This window comes from Homo sapiens, chromosome 13, assembly GCF_000001405.40.
Source record: "Homo sapiens chromosome 13, GRCh38.p14 Primary Assembly".
Lineage (NCBI taxonomy): Eukaryota > Metazoa > Chordata > Mammalia > Primates > Hominidae > Homo > Homo sapiens.
This window is the reverse complement of record NC_000013.11, coordinates 49,436,523-49,450,567: the sequence shown is the minus strand read 5'-3', so window position 1 is coordinate 49,450,567 and position 14,045 is coordinate 49,436,523. Positions and strand designations below refer to the sequence as shown.

The 14,045-nt window shown below is 39.0% G+C and overlaps 3 protein-coding genes across 21 annotated transcripts in view, besides 6 other annotated features; 1 reads left to right on the top strand and 2 right to left on the bottom strand.

The window, feature by feature from the left end:
• Positions 1 to 6,294, bottom strand: part of SETDB2-PHF11 (SETDB2-PHF11 readthrough) — an 84,703-nt gene extending 78,409 nt beyond the window's left edge. For both annotated transcript variants that reach the window (NR_135324.2, NM_001320727.2), the window contains exon 1: positions 5,711 to 6,294. The gene's annotated coding sequence lies outside the window, so the exon portion shown is untranslated. The remainder of the gene's footprint in view (positions 1 to 5,710) is intronic.
• Positions 1 to 6,294, bottom strand: part of SETDB2 (SET domain bifurcated histone lysine methyltransferase 2) — a 50,730-nt gene extending 44,436 nt beyond the window's left edge. For all 10 annotated transcript variants that reach the window (NR_172062.1, NM_031915.3, NM_001160308.3 and 7 more), the window contains exon 1: positions 5,711 to 6,294. The gene's annotated coding sequence lies outside the window, so the exon portion shown is untranslated. The remainder of the gene's footprint in view (positions 1 to 5,710) is intronic.
• Positions 5,141 to 5,914: an enhancer, noted in NCBI's record as "H3K27ac-H3K4me1 hESC enhancer chr13:50018790-50019563 (GRCh37/hg19 assembly coordinates)". NCBI's record gives its function as "activates a minimal SCP1, AML or CMV promoter by ChIP-STARR-seq in naive and primed H9 embryonic stem cells {active_cell/tissue: H9 hESC(naive and primed)}" and the evidence as "EXISTENCE:reporter gene assay evidence [ECO:0000049][PMID:30033119]".
• Positions 5,915 to 6,687: an enhancer, noted in NCBI's record as "H3K27ac hESC enhancer chr13:50018017-50018789 (GRCh37/hg19 assembly coordinates)". NCBI's record gives its function as "activates a minimal SCP1, AML or CMV promoter by ChIP-STARR-seq in primed H9 embryonic stem cells {active_cell/tissue: H9 hESC(primed)}" and the evidence as "EXISTENCE:reporter gene assay evidence [ECO:0000049][PMID:30033119]".
• Positions 6,108 to 6,588: a silencer, noted in NCBI's record as "fragment chr13:50018116-50018596 (GRCh37/hg19 assembly coordinates)". NCBI's record gives its function as "represses an EF-1alpha promoter that drives an FKBP-Casp9 reporter gene in an ReSE screen in HepG2 liver carcinoma cells {active_cell/tissue: HepG2}" and the evidence as "EXISTENCE:reporter gene assay evidence [ECO:0000049][PMID:32094911]".
• Positions 6,387 to 6,436: a silencer, noted in NCBI's record as "silent region_5341". NCBI's record gives its function as "represses an Ori minimal core promoter by ATAC-STARR-seq in GM12878 lymphoblastoid cells {active_cell/tissue: GM12878}" and the evidence as "EXISTENCE:reporter gene assay evidence [ECO:0000049][PMID:35858748]".
• The window catches only part of CAB39L (calcium binding protein 39 like), a 135,415-nt gene continuing 127,873 nt past the window's right edge, over positions 6,504 to 14,045 (top strand). For 7 of the 9 annotated variants that reach the window (XM_047430698.1, XM_047430696.1, XM_047430697.1 and 4 more), the window contains exon 1: positions 6,504 to 6,689. The gene's annotated coding sequence lies outside the window, so the exon portion shown is untranslated. The remainder of the gene's footprint in view (positions 6,690 to 14,045) is intronic. The other 2 variants (NM_001079670.3, NM_001287337.2) reach the window with 1 other exon arrangement.
• Positions 6,597 to 6,676: an enhancer, noted in NCBI's record as "active region_7747". NCBI's record gives its function as "activates an Ori minimal core promoter by ATAC-STARR-seq in GM12878 lymphoblastoid cells {active_cell/tissue: GM12878}" and the evidence as "EXISTENCE:reporter gene assay evidence [ECO:0000049][PMID:35858748]".
• Positions 7,057 to 7,126: an enhancer, noted in NCBI's record as "active region_7746". NCBI's record gives its function as "activates an Ori minimal core promoter by ATAC-STARR-seq in GM12878 lymphoblastoid cells {active_cell/tissue: GM12878}" and the evidence as "EXISTENCE:reporter gene assay evidence [ECO:0000049][PMID:35858748]".

Here is a 14,045-nt window from a genome sequence, read left to right as displayed (position 1 = left end):
GATGGGCAGGAATCCTCTCAGAGGAGATTAATGCACAACTGAGAGTCCTCAAATATCTGAAGAAGGCTACACTATGAAAGAGACTGAGCTAAAGAAGGAAATCTCATCCATGAAATAACACACAATTTTGAAAAAAAGCCAGTTAGCTATCTTGGATATAAAAACAGTTGTTGAAATAAACTCAATAGATGACTGAATGACAGAACAGACTAACATGAAGAGCCAGTTAGTAAGCTGGAAGACTGAGTTGAGTAATTCACCAAGAACACAGAGCAAGGAAACAAGAGGAGGCAAAAAATTGAGAAAATGGAGAGGAGGCAATAATGAGCAAGAATTTCTCAGAACTGGAAAACACATAAGCAAACTGAATCCACTGAGTACCAACCAGGATAAAATTCTTAACACACATCGCTAGACAAACCGTGACTAACTTCAGAATATCAAAAACACAAAGTCTTAGATGTTTCCAGAAAAATGTAGATTATCTAAAAGGAAGGTGTATTAGACTAGTAATGAGATTTCTCATCAGAAATGTCAGATGCAAAATGTTAAAGCAAAGTCAGTATGAACCCAGAACTCTATATCCAGCCAAGCTATCTTTCCATACTAAAGATGAAAAAAAGACATTTGCAGACATTCAAAGAGTCACTCAGAGACTGTGAAAGAAATAAGTATCTGATGATGAAAAATGAACCTATAAGAAAGCACTGAGGTATACGTAGCAATAGTGAGCAAATAAATGAGTAAAACACATTAATGTTAAATGTAAACTGAATTTAATAACAAATGAAAGAAAAATTCTTAAAGATATCATGAGAGATTATGTTCTTTTCTGGAGGAGAGATGGAAGGGATTGTTTCAAGATGAGAGAAAGCAAAGTAGAAGCATGCTAACTTCTTCTTTACAGGGGCCTTATCAAAACTGACTAAATGTACACTTTGTTAAGAAAACATAAATTTAAGAACTGTGAAATGTAAAGTTAATCAACTTAAAAAAAAATGAACAAAGAAAACTTGGGGCTAACCTCAATTAAAAATAAAAGTGATGCCAGCGCTTTGGGAGGCTGAGGTGGGTGGATCACCTGAGGTCAGGAGTTCAAGACCAGCCTGGCCAACATGGCGAAATCCCATCTCTACCAAAAATACAAAAATTAGCTGGGTGTGGTGGTGTGTACCTGTAATCTGGGCTACTTGGGAGGCTGAGGGAGGAAAATTGCTTGAACCTGGGAGGCAGAGGTTGCAGTGAGCCGAGATCACGCCACTGTACTCCAGCCTGGGCAACAGAGCAAGACTCTGTTCCAAAAAACAGGTGGAAAAATAAGATATAAAAGATACAAAGAGAAGCTTGTTAAATAATGACAAGAATAAGGCCAAAATATGTCAATAATCACAATAAAGGTGAATTACCTATTAAAGGGCAGACTCTCAGATTGGATGGCAAGCAAAACCCAGATATGATATTTTAAAATAAGAGACCCACTTAAATTACACAAAATGTCACAGCAAGGCTGAAAACGAAGAGACTGGAAAAAGACATCTGCAATTATAAGAAGAAACGTATCAAATAAGAGTTGAATATGAAAATCAATAAAAGACACAAATATTTTATGCTGACAGAACAATTCACCAGATTTAATATTCATGACCCTTTATGTACAAATAACATCACTCTGAAATATATAAAGCAAAATTAAAAGGAAAATGCACAGATCCACAATTTGGTGATGAAGTAACAAATCTAAGGAACTGAGATAAAGTGGGTAAAAAACCAGAGTATAAAGGATTTAAATGACAAATTAACAAGCTTAATCCAAAAAATATATAGAACCCTGCACCCAACAGAAAATACTTCTTGTGGGAGGAAAAGCATGAAATTTACAAAAACTATTATGAGACCAAAAGGAATTATCAACAAATTCCAAAAGACTGTTTACACAGAGCATAGTCACTGAATGTAGTAAATCAACCCCCCACCCCATACTACCTGCGGAAATTAAAAAATCAAATTTCCCAAATAATGTATATGGTTTACAGAAGAAATCAAAGGAGAAATTTAAGAACATTTAGAAATGGTGATCGGTTGAAGTAATACATTTCAAAGCCTGAAGGATTTTGCCAAAGCAGCATGCCAAGAGATATTTAGGCCTTAAATAAATTTTATTAGCAAAATGAAAATATTGACTTAAACATTCAATTAAAGAAGCTGGGAAAAAAGCAACAAAATAAATAATAACAAATGAAGATAGATCTCTAGCTACTGAAGAGATTTTAAACATTTTAAAATTCAGACAGTTTTATGTCAATGAACCTGAGCACAGACGAACTGAACAATTTTCTAGGAAAATATAAATTACCAAATAGGCTCAAAACACTGAAGATATTACTAGAGATGTGTGCCACACATCCCCACCCCTCACTGCTAGTTCACTAGGTCCATTAAGTTTTACAGATGAATTGTACAAAACTTTCAAAGAATAGATAATTTTTATCAAACACAAACCTGTTCTGAAGCAGGAAAAATATGGGAAGCTACTCAACTTTTTCTTAAGCAGTTACTCAATTTTTTTTTATGAGATATGAAATTTTTTTCACTGCTAGTACACTAGGTCCATAAACTTTTACAGATGAATTGTACAAAACTTTCAGAGAACGGCTAATTTTTATCATATACAAACTGTTCTGAAGCAGGAAAAATATGGGAAGCTACTCAACTTTTTTTTATGAGATAAGTATAACCTTGACATGCAAGAAAAAAACTCAAGGCCCAAATCACTACTGGGTCTTAGACACAAAAATACTGAATAAAGGTATCCAGCAGTAGAATAAGAATGTATTACCAAAATAGTTTATCCCAAGAATACCTAAAAAGTTTAACATGAAAAGTTTATCAATGTGAATGCTTATATTAACAGGCAAAGGGAGGAAAACTATCACTTCATGCAGAAAAACAAAACAATTCAATATAAAATTATTCCATGGAAGGTGGGGGGGCCCCTTAGCAAATTAGGAAAAAAGAGAACTTTCTTATTCTGATCGAGGCTATCTACCAAAACATCCTACTCAATGACAGCAAACATCATACTCAATGATGAAACATTCGGAGAATTTTTATTAGGCACAAGATGAAGACAGTTGCTATCACTGTTTTTATTCAATACTGTACTGGAAGTCTTAGAGAAATTCAGTAAGATAAAAAGAGGCCTAAAGATTGGCAGAGGAAAATCCATCTGTAGAACAAATAAGTTAACAAAAAGTCAAAAGCCAAGCAAGAAGCTAAGAGAAAATGTTTTTAACATATTTTAACAATAGCAACAAAAAGGAGGCATAATTAACCATACACACCAAAGAGACTTCTAAAAATACAGTATCGAGGACACATAAAGAACTTAAACATGTTTTTAAAAAACTATAGAAATGCATATAAATTATAGGTTAACAAACATAATAGACACTTCAATCTTAGATCACAGAATGAAAATTAAAATTAAAAATATAATTTGCAGCCATCACTAGGCAAAAATGAAGAAGATAATATCTCATGTTAGTCTAAACTGTAGAGAAACTTAACTCTCATAAACTACCTGTGGAACATGTAAATTAGTAGAGGTATTTTTGGAGGCAAATTTAGCATGACCTATTAAAACTAAAAATGCTCACAACTTAAAACCAAGCAATTCCACTTTTAGGTATATATCCTAGAGAAATAGCACATGTGCACAAGAAAACACAAAGATTTTCCTTGCAGCATTGTTGTATGGTGAAAAACTGGAAACCTAATGTTCTCAGAGAATGGCAATAAAATGTGCTATACAGCACACATCAAACAAAATAGGATTTAACAACAAGACCAATAAAAGAGACAAAGAAATGTTTTATATTAACAGATCAATTCAGTCATACACTGGAACACTATGCAGCAGGTAAAAGAAATGATCCATAAATAACATAATGAGCTATAAATAACATGTACAGGCTGCAAAAACAATGTCAAGAAATAAAGCTACAGAATGATGTAGTATAGTATTTTTCCACTAAAAAATTACAAATGTATATATTCACCTATATAGAATATGTAACAGTATTAAAAGGTGTAAGTATTAAAAAACACTTGAAAGCTCTGTACCAAAGTCTCCAGCGGGAGTAGGGAGGGAGAGGAGTGAGGGAACATTCCTTGTACAAAACTTTCAAAGAACGGAGAATTTTTATCATATACGAACTTTCAAGAAGGAAAAATACGGGAAGCTATTCAACTGTTTTTATAAGTATAACCTTGACACGCAAGAAAAAACTCAAGGTCAAAATCTGGATTGTGCTCTTTATCTACAAGGTACCAATTCTGTAAAAGAATGTAAAAGTGTACTTAATTTTTAAAAATTAAGTATATATAAATGTTCAAAAAGGAATTCATTTTAAAGCTTTTTATAGCATATTGTCAAACTCTCTTCCAGAAAGGTTCTACCAATTTATACTTCCACCTAAGCACACTCAGTAATAGTTTTATTTTTTTTTAGACATGAGGTCTATGTTGCCCAGGTTGGTCTTGAACTCTGGGCTCAAGTGATCTGCCAAAGTGCTGGGATTATAGATGTGAGCCACCCACCGCGCACGGCCATAGATTTTTTTTTTTTTTTTGAGACGGAGTCTCGCTCTGTCACCAGTGCAGTGAGAAGGGTGCAGTGGCGTGATCTCGGCTCACTGCAGCCTCTGCCTCCCGGGTTCAAGCGATTCTCCTGCCTCAGCCTCCCGAGAAGCTGGGATTACAGGGGCCCGCCACCACACGCCCGGCTAATTTTTGTGTTTTTAGTGGAGACGGGGTTTCACCACGTTGGCCAGGCTGGTCTTGAACTCCTGACCTCAGGTGATCCGCCCGCCTCAGCCTCCCAAAGTGTGGGGATTACAGGTGTGAGCCACCGCGCCCGGCCCATAGCTTTGTTTTTAAGCAGCTCTCACCAGCGTTCACACCTGAAAATTTGAAAACTGAACGTGCACAAGTAAAACATGTTTCCTGGAGAAAATCTGCAAAATACAATAAAGCATAAAGGAGAAAATTTAAACACCATCCCATCATCCAGAGACAACTGGTGTTAATATTTCAGAGAGTAAATGGGCTTAAAAAACTTTTTTCCCCTTCTCACTTTTTCATTTTGGTAGAAAAATAATTAAGCCAGTCTGCTTTGCTTCAATGTATGGTTCCTTTTCGTTTCTAAAACAGGCTTTAAAAACACGTTTACCATTTCCTCTCGGCTCCTTACGTTTTAATTGTAACGACAGAACCACGGGTTAAGTCACGCTTAAGAACCACGGGTTAGTCACGCTTCTAACTACTTCACGTGTTCTTATTTAATCCCCCTAACAGTCATGTGGGTTAAATTAGCAGCTCGTTTGCTGATGAGGAAGCTAAGGAATGCCATACCGTAAGTGGCAGACACGAAATAAGGAACCAGGCAGCATGGTTTCAGAGCCTATGCTTTGGTTACTCCATTTGACCTCTTCAAATTTACTCCTCTCCTTGGCCTCATGTGTTAGTATTTACAGAGCTCACTGCAGGTTTCCACATGCCAAAGAGCACAGTTAATTACATATCTTTCCTTACTTAATTACTTATTGGGCTGTGGCTGATAGCGAGTCAGAAGTGTTACTATCTAATCTGAACTCCATGATCTTGGATGAATGACTGAACTTGCTGTATTTAAGGGCTCGTGTAATCTTACCTGTGAAATGGGCTAGTGGTTTAACCTTCAAGTTCTGCTTCTGGGTTTTATACTGCTGTCCATTTCCTGCCGCCCCTTTGACAACCTCAGGTTCCCAGCAGCTTAGGAATCACCTCTCATTAAGGCTGCACCCTGAGACAGACAGGCTGAAATGGAGGTTGGAAACTCAGTGCGCCCGCGGCCCCTTCTGCAGCCAGGACTGCACTTGGGTGCCAGGAGAAGGGAGGCTGCAAGGGCTGGGGTCCAGCCCCTGCTCGGGCGGCCGAGGGCTCCGCGGCGTTTTCAGCTCCTCCAACCTCCCGGCTAGAGGAACTGTCGGGGGCCAGCCACGGCGGTGCCTTGGTTTCACCTGGCTCCGCTGCGTTTTCTACGCCGCCCGCCTGACCTGAGGAGTGAGCTCCGCCAGCTCCGTTGGCAAGGCTGGGTTCCTCCGCGGGTGGGGCTCTCCTCCGACGCCAAGCCGCCCAAACCTCCCGAGCGCAGGTGCCCTCTGGCCGGGAAGTACTTCACCATTTACTAGCCTTCATCTCAACCACAACAGTCCCGCCCTGCCTCTACCGGGGATGAGGGAAGGCGTAACCTCCGCCGGGGACCAGGCCGACCTACCTAAACCGATCACTACATGGGAGGAGTCGGACGCCGGCCGTCCCACCACCCAGCCAGGAGCCCATTGATTGGTCGCACTCCCCACTGGTTCACGCCTCAGAGACTCGGCGCACTTACCGCTGGCACCGCAGTGGCGCCCGAGCGCGCCGCCTCCCGATTGACTGCTAGCGCTCTCGGCTTGTCTCGCGCACTGTAGCTGAGCCAATGGAGTTACTCGTAGTCGAGAGGCCGGCATCACTGGAGTGGTGGCGCAGCTGTTTCCTCCGGTAGGTGTGAGGCTGCCATCTTGTGTGTGGCTGGGACTGGGCTTCTTGGGGGTTGAAAACATACATAGCGCCTGGCCGTAGTGGAGGGGTCCGGAGAGAACAATGGGGTAAAGGAGAGGCCTAAGGGAGGAGACCCAGCGCCTTCCTACTTGCGGAAAGGATGGGTTTCCTGGGCCTGAGTCTCATCCCTGGCTAGAGAGAGCGAGGAATGGTGGTGGTGGTGGTGGTGATGGTTGTGGTGGTGGTAATAGTAGGGATCCCAGGTTTTGGTTTGTTGATCATTGTGGGGGCTGGGCGGGGCCTTTGATGCCTTAACATTGGTTCCTGGGAGCTCTTTTAGTAATTTTTGTCTCGCAAAGATTCTGACCATCAACCCCCTTTGACAAAGGAGGCTAGCTGATGAACTGCCTGATTGAGAAAGGAGCAAAGCTAGTAGTGGAAGGGGAGTGCCTCTCTACTATCCTCAGGTTCAGAAGAGACCTCCTCTTCCGTCCTTTTCGAGGGAGCGGCTGCTAAACAGTTTGCTCTTCGCGGGGGTTACTTTACTAAGGCCATCCTTTGGTAATAGTGGGCGTCAAGTTCTGCGTTTGGGCAAAATTGTACATTAGCGGGCAGCCAAGCATTCCTGCAGCTGTCTTTTTTTTTTCTTTATTTTAAGCTAGAAAGTGGTGGTCTTGCAGAAACGGGGCGTGAAGGAAGAATTTTGTCAAATCTTGATTTCCCCGATAACGATATGTTGAAGATTATAAATCTCTGGGTCTGCCATGACATGCTTGGTCACTTCATGGAGCAGGAGGAGGCTTTGTTAGGGAAAGCACCTTAATTTCTGAGCTCTTTTTGGGGTAGGAGGAAGAAGACAGGACTTAACCTTGTTTCCCTCCTCCTTTTTTTTTTTTTTTTTTAGCATTGTTGTGGATGGCATTGCATTGTCTTTCATTTGAGGGGAAAATGTATTGGATCTGAAGACCAAGCTGATGAAAGGCTAATATTTTGTGGTAGATTTTAGCAGTTTGACTTGCATGAAAAGAAAGCCGATGTATTATTGCCTTCAGCTTAGATTTCAGTTATTCAAGATTAACTGATGAACAACCTAATCAACAATACATGATAAAGACATCTCGCATCAGGAATACCAAAAAACAAAACAAACAGCAAAATAATTGATGTTTTTTTTTTTTTTTTTTTTTTTTTTTTTTTTGAGATGGAGTCTCTTGTCGCCTATGCTGGAGTGCAATGGTGCAATCTCGGCTCACTGCAACTCTGCCTCCGTGGTTCAAGCGATTCTCCTGCCTCAGCCTCCTGAGTAGCTGGGACTACAGACACCGGCCATCACGCCCAGCTAATTTTTGTATTTTTAGTAGAGATGGGGTTTCACCATGTTGGCCAGGCTGGTCTTGAACTCCTGACTTTAGATGATCTGCCCGCCTCCACCTCCCAAAGTGCTGGGATTACAGGTGTGAGCCACGGCACCTGGCCTGAGAATCATTTTTCTTAATTACTTGATTCCATGCTTGTATCTTCCACTTGACTTGTATCTTCCAGTTGGCTTGTCAAAATGCATGGAGAAACAAAAGTTCATATACCTTTTGACCTTTTCTAAGAAACTTGTAAGGAAATAGAGATAGAATCAAAGCTTTATAATCACAGTGTAATTTTGTTCTTGTGAAAAATTGGAAATAACAAATATCTAATGGTAGAAGAATGGTTTTATAAATTATGACACATCCCATCATTATATTTTTCAGCCTTTTAAAAGGAACGTTTTCAAAGAGTAGTGGCATAGGCTGTTGAATGACATAGGAAAGTGGTTACCATTTTGTGTTAAATGAAAGAAGTATAGAATAGTCATTGGGAAAATGCAAATTAAAACCACCGTCATTGGAAAAATGCAAATTAAAACCACAGTGAGATACTACACAACCTCTTACTCAGAATGTCAAAACAAACAATACATTTCCTGGCAAGGATGCAAAACAAGGAGAAACCTTAGTCTTGCTGGTGAGACTGCAAATAGTACAGCCACCTAGAAGACAATTTGACAGTTTATTATAAAATTAATCATATCCTTATCACATGATCTGGCAAGCCCACTCTAGATTGAAATTTACCACCAAGATAAGAGAGTTCCAGTAGTTTTTCATCCTTGTCAGCACTTGGCATTATCAGTTAAAATATTTAGCCTTTATATGAGGTATGATGGGGTATCTCATTGTGGTTTTAATTTCCCCTTTGATGATTGTATGCTTCTCTGATGAAAAGTGAAATGAAAACCTATATTGGCTGCTCTGCAAATATTTATAGCGATTTTATTTGTAATGGCCAAAACTGGAAACAACCAGATTCCACTAGGAAATAGATTTTTTTAAACTCCAGCATGTCCATACAGTGTAACATAGGAACCTCCTTTTTATTTTCTTTAGAGATGGGATCTCGCTATGTTGCCCAGGCTGGAATACAGTGGCATGATCACAGCTTACTGCAGCCTTGACCCCCCAGGCTCAAGTGAACCTCCCTCCTCAGCCTCAAGAGTAGCTGGGACTATAGATATGTGCCACCATGCCTGGCTAATTTTTTGGAGAGATGGCATCTTGCTATGTTGCCCAGGCTGGTCTCAAACTCCTGGACTCCAGTGATCCTCCTGCTTTGGCTTCCCGAAGTGCTAGCATTATAGGCATAAGCCACTGTACCTAGCCGGGAACCTCCTTTTAGTATATAGTTATATAAATATATGGGAAAAGGGAATATATATATATATATATATATACACTAAATCATTATAAGAAAATCATCAAAATAAGCCATAAAACATTGCACGAGATTATGAAAACATACCCCAAAAATGTGGCCACAAAGCAGATGAAAATGACAATCTAAATATTTCAGAGTAAGCTAAGAGAATTTAAGGAAAAGATGAAATCTTTGAAAGAACCACATAAATTCAGAAATAAGAGCTCAGACATGAGATACGTAGGAAGTTCTAGCCAGAGCAATCAGGCAAGAGAAACAAAAGGCATCCACATAGGAAAAGAAGTCAGACTATCTCTCTTGGCTGATGATCTGATTGTATACCTAGAAAACCCTAAAGACTCCACCAAAGGCTCTTGGAACTGATAACTTCAGTAAGTTTCAGGATACAAACTCTGTACAAAAATCAGTAGCGTTTCTATACCAATAATGTTGGAGCAGAGAGCCAAATCAAGAATGCAGTCCTGTTTACGATAGCCATACACACACACACACACACACACACACACACACACACACACACACTGCCTAGGAATACCTCTAACCAAGGAAGTGAAAGATCTCTACAAGAACTACAAGACACTGCTGAAAGAAATCATTGATGACACAAACAAATGGAAAAACACTCCATGCTCATGGATTGGAAGAATCAATATCATTAGAATCGCCATACTGCCCAAAACAAGCTACACATTCAGTGCTACTGAATGTGTAGCTTGTTTCAAATTATACTTTGAGGCTACAGTAACCAAAAAAGCATGGTACTGGTACAAAAACAGACATATAGGCCAATGGAGCAGAATAGAGAGCCCAGAAATTAAGCTGTACACCCACAGCCATCTGGTCAACAAAATTGACAAAAGGAAGCAATGGAGAAAGAACTTCCTATTCAATAAATGGTGCTGGGATAACTGGCTAGCCATGTGTATAAGACTGGGCTTCTACCTTACACCACATACAAAACTGGACTTCTACCTTACACCACATACAAAAATCAATTCAAGATGGATTAAAGATTTAAATGTAAGAACTCAAACAGTAAGAATCCTAGGAAAAAATCTAGGAAACATTCTGGACATCAGCCTTGGGAAAGAATTTATGACTAAGTCTTCAAAAGCAATTGCAACAAAAACAAAAGTTGACAAGTAGGACCTAATTAAACTAAAGAGCTTCTGCACAGTAAGAGAAACTATTAACAGAGCAAACAGATAACCTGCAGAATAGGAGAAAATATTTGCAAACTATGCATCTGACAAAGGTCTAATATCCAGAATCTATAAGGAAGTTAATTCAACAAGCAAAAAAAAAAAAAAAAAAAACCCATTAAAAAGTGGTCAAAAGACATCAACAGACACTTCTCAAAAGAACAAGTGGCCAATAAACAGATGAAAAAATGTTCCACATCACTAATCATCAGAGAAATGCAAATCAAAACCATAATGAGACATCATCTCACGCCAGTCAGAATGGCTCTTACTAAAAAGTCAAAAAACAACAGATGTGGGCAAGGCTGCAGAGTAAAGGGAACACTTACACACGGTTGGTGGGAGTGTAAATTAGTTCAGCCACTGTGGAAATCAGTTTGAAGGTTTCTCAAAAAACTCAGAACTACCATTTGACCAGCAATCCCATTATTGGGTGTATATCCAAAAGAAATTGTTCTACCAAAAAGATACATGCACTCATATGTTCATCATAGTGCTAGTCACAATAGCAAAGATGTGGAATCAACCTATGTGTCCATCAGGGATAGATTGGTTACATATGAACCGTGGAATACTATGCAGGGAAGGAATGCAATAAGTGTTGAAAAACTAACTGTTGAGTATAATGCCCAGTACCTGGATGACAGGATCTGTCATACTCCAGACTTCAGCGTTACACAGTATACCCATGTAACAAATCTGCACATGTACCCCCAAATCTAAAAGAGAACTTGAAATTATAAAAAAGTAAATAAAATTCACCTCTTTCTATGTTTTCAGGGGAAAAAAAGAAATGAGATGGCTAGACCATAGAAGGAGGTGCAATGAGAGCAGACAAAACTCAATAAAAGATTAAGAAAAAGACAGTTTAAAGTGATGATTGCATTAGAAACCAAGAGTGAATATACATCACAGAAAGTACGATAAGAAAAATGGAAAAATGAAGAAAATAAAAAGATTTTTAAAAAGGAGTCAAGAGGTGACAAGACAGGCAAAGAGAGCCAGAATAAATATAAATGGAGTTCCCCAAATGTAAGCCCAAGGATAGTGGTGATGTTTATGTAACACTGAATATACTTAATGCCACTTATTGAATACTTTAAAACAGTAAATTTTATGTTCCTTATTTTACTACAGTAAAACAAAGCAAGCCAAAGCAATGGACCAGAACAACTATTAGGACTGTAATTCAAGAACGCTTAACATTAAAGTAGGTTTAAATGTAACATATGTTGAAAGGCATACTGTAAACCTGGAGAAATCAACCCACAACAGTTAACACTGAGATGTGGTCCTGTAAAATTGTTGGATTTTTAAAAATAAACCCTTCTTGCATTGATGGGGGAAATAAAAAGAGCAGGTCACTTGCAAAGAAAATCAGATTGGATTTTTGGTGGCAACATTTTATGTCAGATATTAAGAAAGTATTTATTCAAAGAAATAAAATAATTCCTATCTCACCAAACTACCCTTCAAGAATTCAGGGCATTGACAAACATTTATAAACATGAAATAATTCAAGGAAAATGGCTATAATTGTTCCCATGAATCCTTCTGAAGCGTATACTAGAGAACAAATTTCAGACAACCAAGAAATGATTGGAAAATCTTCAACATAAGGTCAGGTGGTGAGCAAATCAAATATATTTTGTGTGTAGCATCAAGATTAAAAGATGAGGATAATGATGATAGAATAGTATATAAATATTACATGGTCTGACATTGTAGAAATAATATAACCCGCAAAAAAATGGGAGGAAAAGAGGAGGGTGAATGAGAAGTAGAATAAGGTTGTTTGCCTTTTAGGCATTAGCTGGGAGAAAAAAGCCCTTGAAGCTGACAGGTGGAAGCTTAAACATACTCAGAAGTGCAAGATAGAACACTAATAAAAATAATACCAGCTGGACACGGTGGCTAATGCCTGTAATCCCAGCACTTTGCGGGGCTGAGGCAGGAAGATTGCTTGAGCCCAGAAGTTTGAGACCAGCCATCCTGGGCAACATGGCGAAAGCTTGTCTCTTAAAAAAAATAAAAAATAAAAAAATTAACTGGGCGTAGTGGCACACACCTGTAGTCCCAGGTACTTAGGAAGCTGAGAGAGGTCGGAGGATCTCTTGAACGCAGGAGGTCAAGGCTACAGTGAGCTGTGATTGCGCCACTGCACTCCAGCCTGGGCAACAGAGTGAGACCCTGTGTCAAAATAATATTAAATAATAACCAGCAATTTGCAGGGAAGCTTAAATTTCGCTTCTGAAGGTTTGATAACTGAGTTGGCTGAACTAAACTAACAGTAGGTTAACAAGAGAAAACCCATACAAATTTATTGATATGTAAGCATACATTAATAGCTAGCAAAATGTCTATGGGCATGCAGGGAAATCAACACTGCAGTCTAGCAGAATCCATGGAGAAGTGGCAAGCAAGGTGGAGACTGTAAAAAAAGAGGAGAGGTTGCAGGACCTAGGGGTAGCAGAATACAGATAATTCCCAGAAAGAGAAAGCCCCACCCTGGATAGAGAAGTGAGAAGAGGTGTAAGATCCATTAGACAAAATAAGAGACTTGAAAGAAAATGAGACCAAAGACGCAGTCTCATGAAAGTACTGCTTCTGGGGAAAGGAAAGAGGGTGCCTTGGAAGGGTCACCATCTACCTGGAGGCTTGGTGATAGAGAGAAGGGGTAGTAGAAATTAAGGATCTTGGTGAACCAGAATAGAAAATAGATACTCATTTCTCCCACCCAAAAAGGAGTCATTAATTAAAAACAAACAAACAAAAAAACACTTTATTAGGTACTATTTACTAAGAAATCCAGTTAAGTCATCTAAATTCCTTGCTTCTGCCTATACACAACTATATCTGGTTTAGGAAAAATAAAATATTTCAAGATGAACAGAAGATGGCAGGCAACATCCATATAAAGTTACTTTAGCTGGAAAACAAAATGATAGTCAAAACATTTCAACTGGGCTGGGCACAGTGGCTCACAGCTGTAATCCCAGCCCTTTGAGAGGCCAAGGTGGGCGGATCACTTGAGCCCAGGAGTTCGAGCCCAGCCTGGGCACTATAGTGAGACCTAGTCTCTACAAAAAATAAGGAAAAAAGTTTTTAAAAAATTTTAGCTGATGAAAAGTCTTCCCGAAACATCCAACTATAGCACTAAAGAAAACTACAGCACAGTACTCCTACCAGAATTTAAAATATCCTTAAACTAACATTTGTAGAGATAAAAAGTCTCAAATCCAAATTCAAAACTGCAAAACAAATGGACAAAAAGAGGAAGATATGAAAAGTGAATTTACTGAACTCAGGAAATAAAATAAATCAAAAGAAAAATCAGCTTTTAAAATGAAGTTAAAGCCAGATGCAGTGGTGCATGCCTGTAGTTCCAGCTATTTGAGAGGCTTGAGCCCAGGAGTTTGAGGCCAGCCTGGGCAATATAGAGAGACTCCTGTCTCAAAAAAAAAAAAAAAAAAAAAAAAAAAGTCATAAAGAAAGAAATGAAGCTAAATTCCA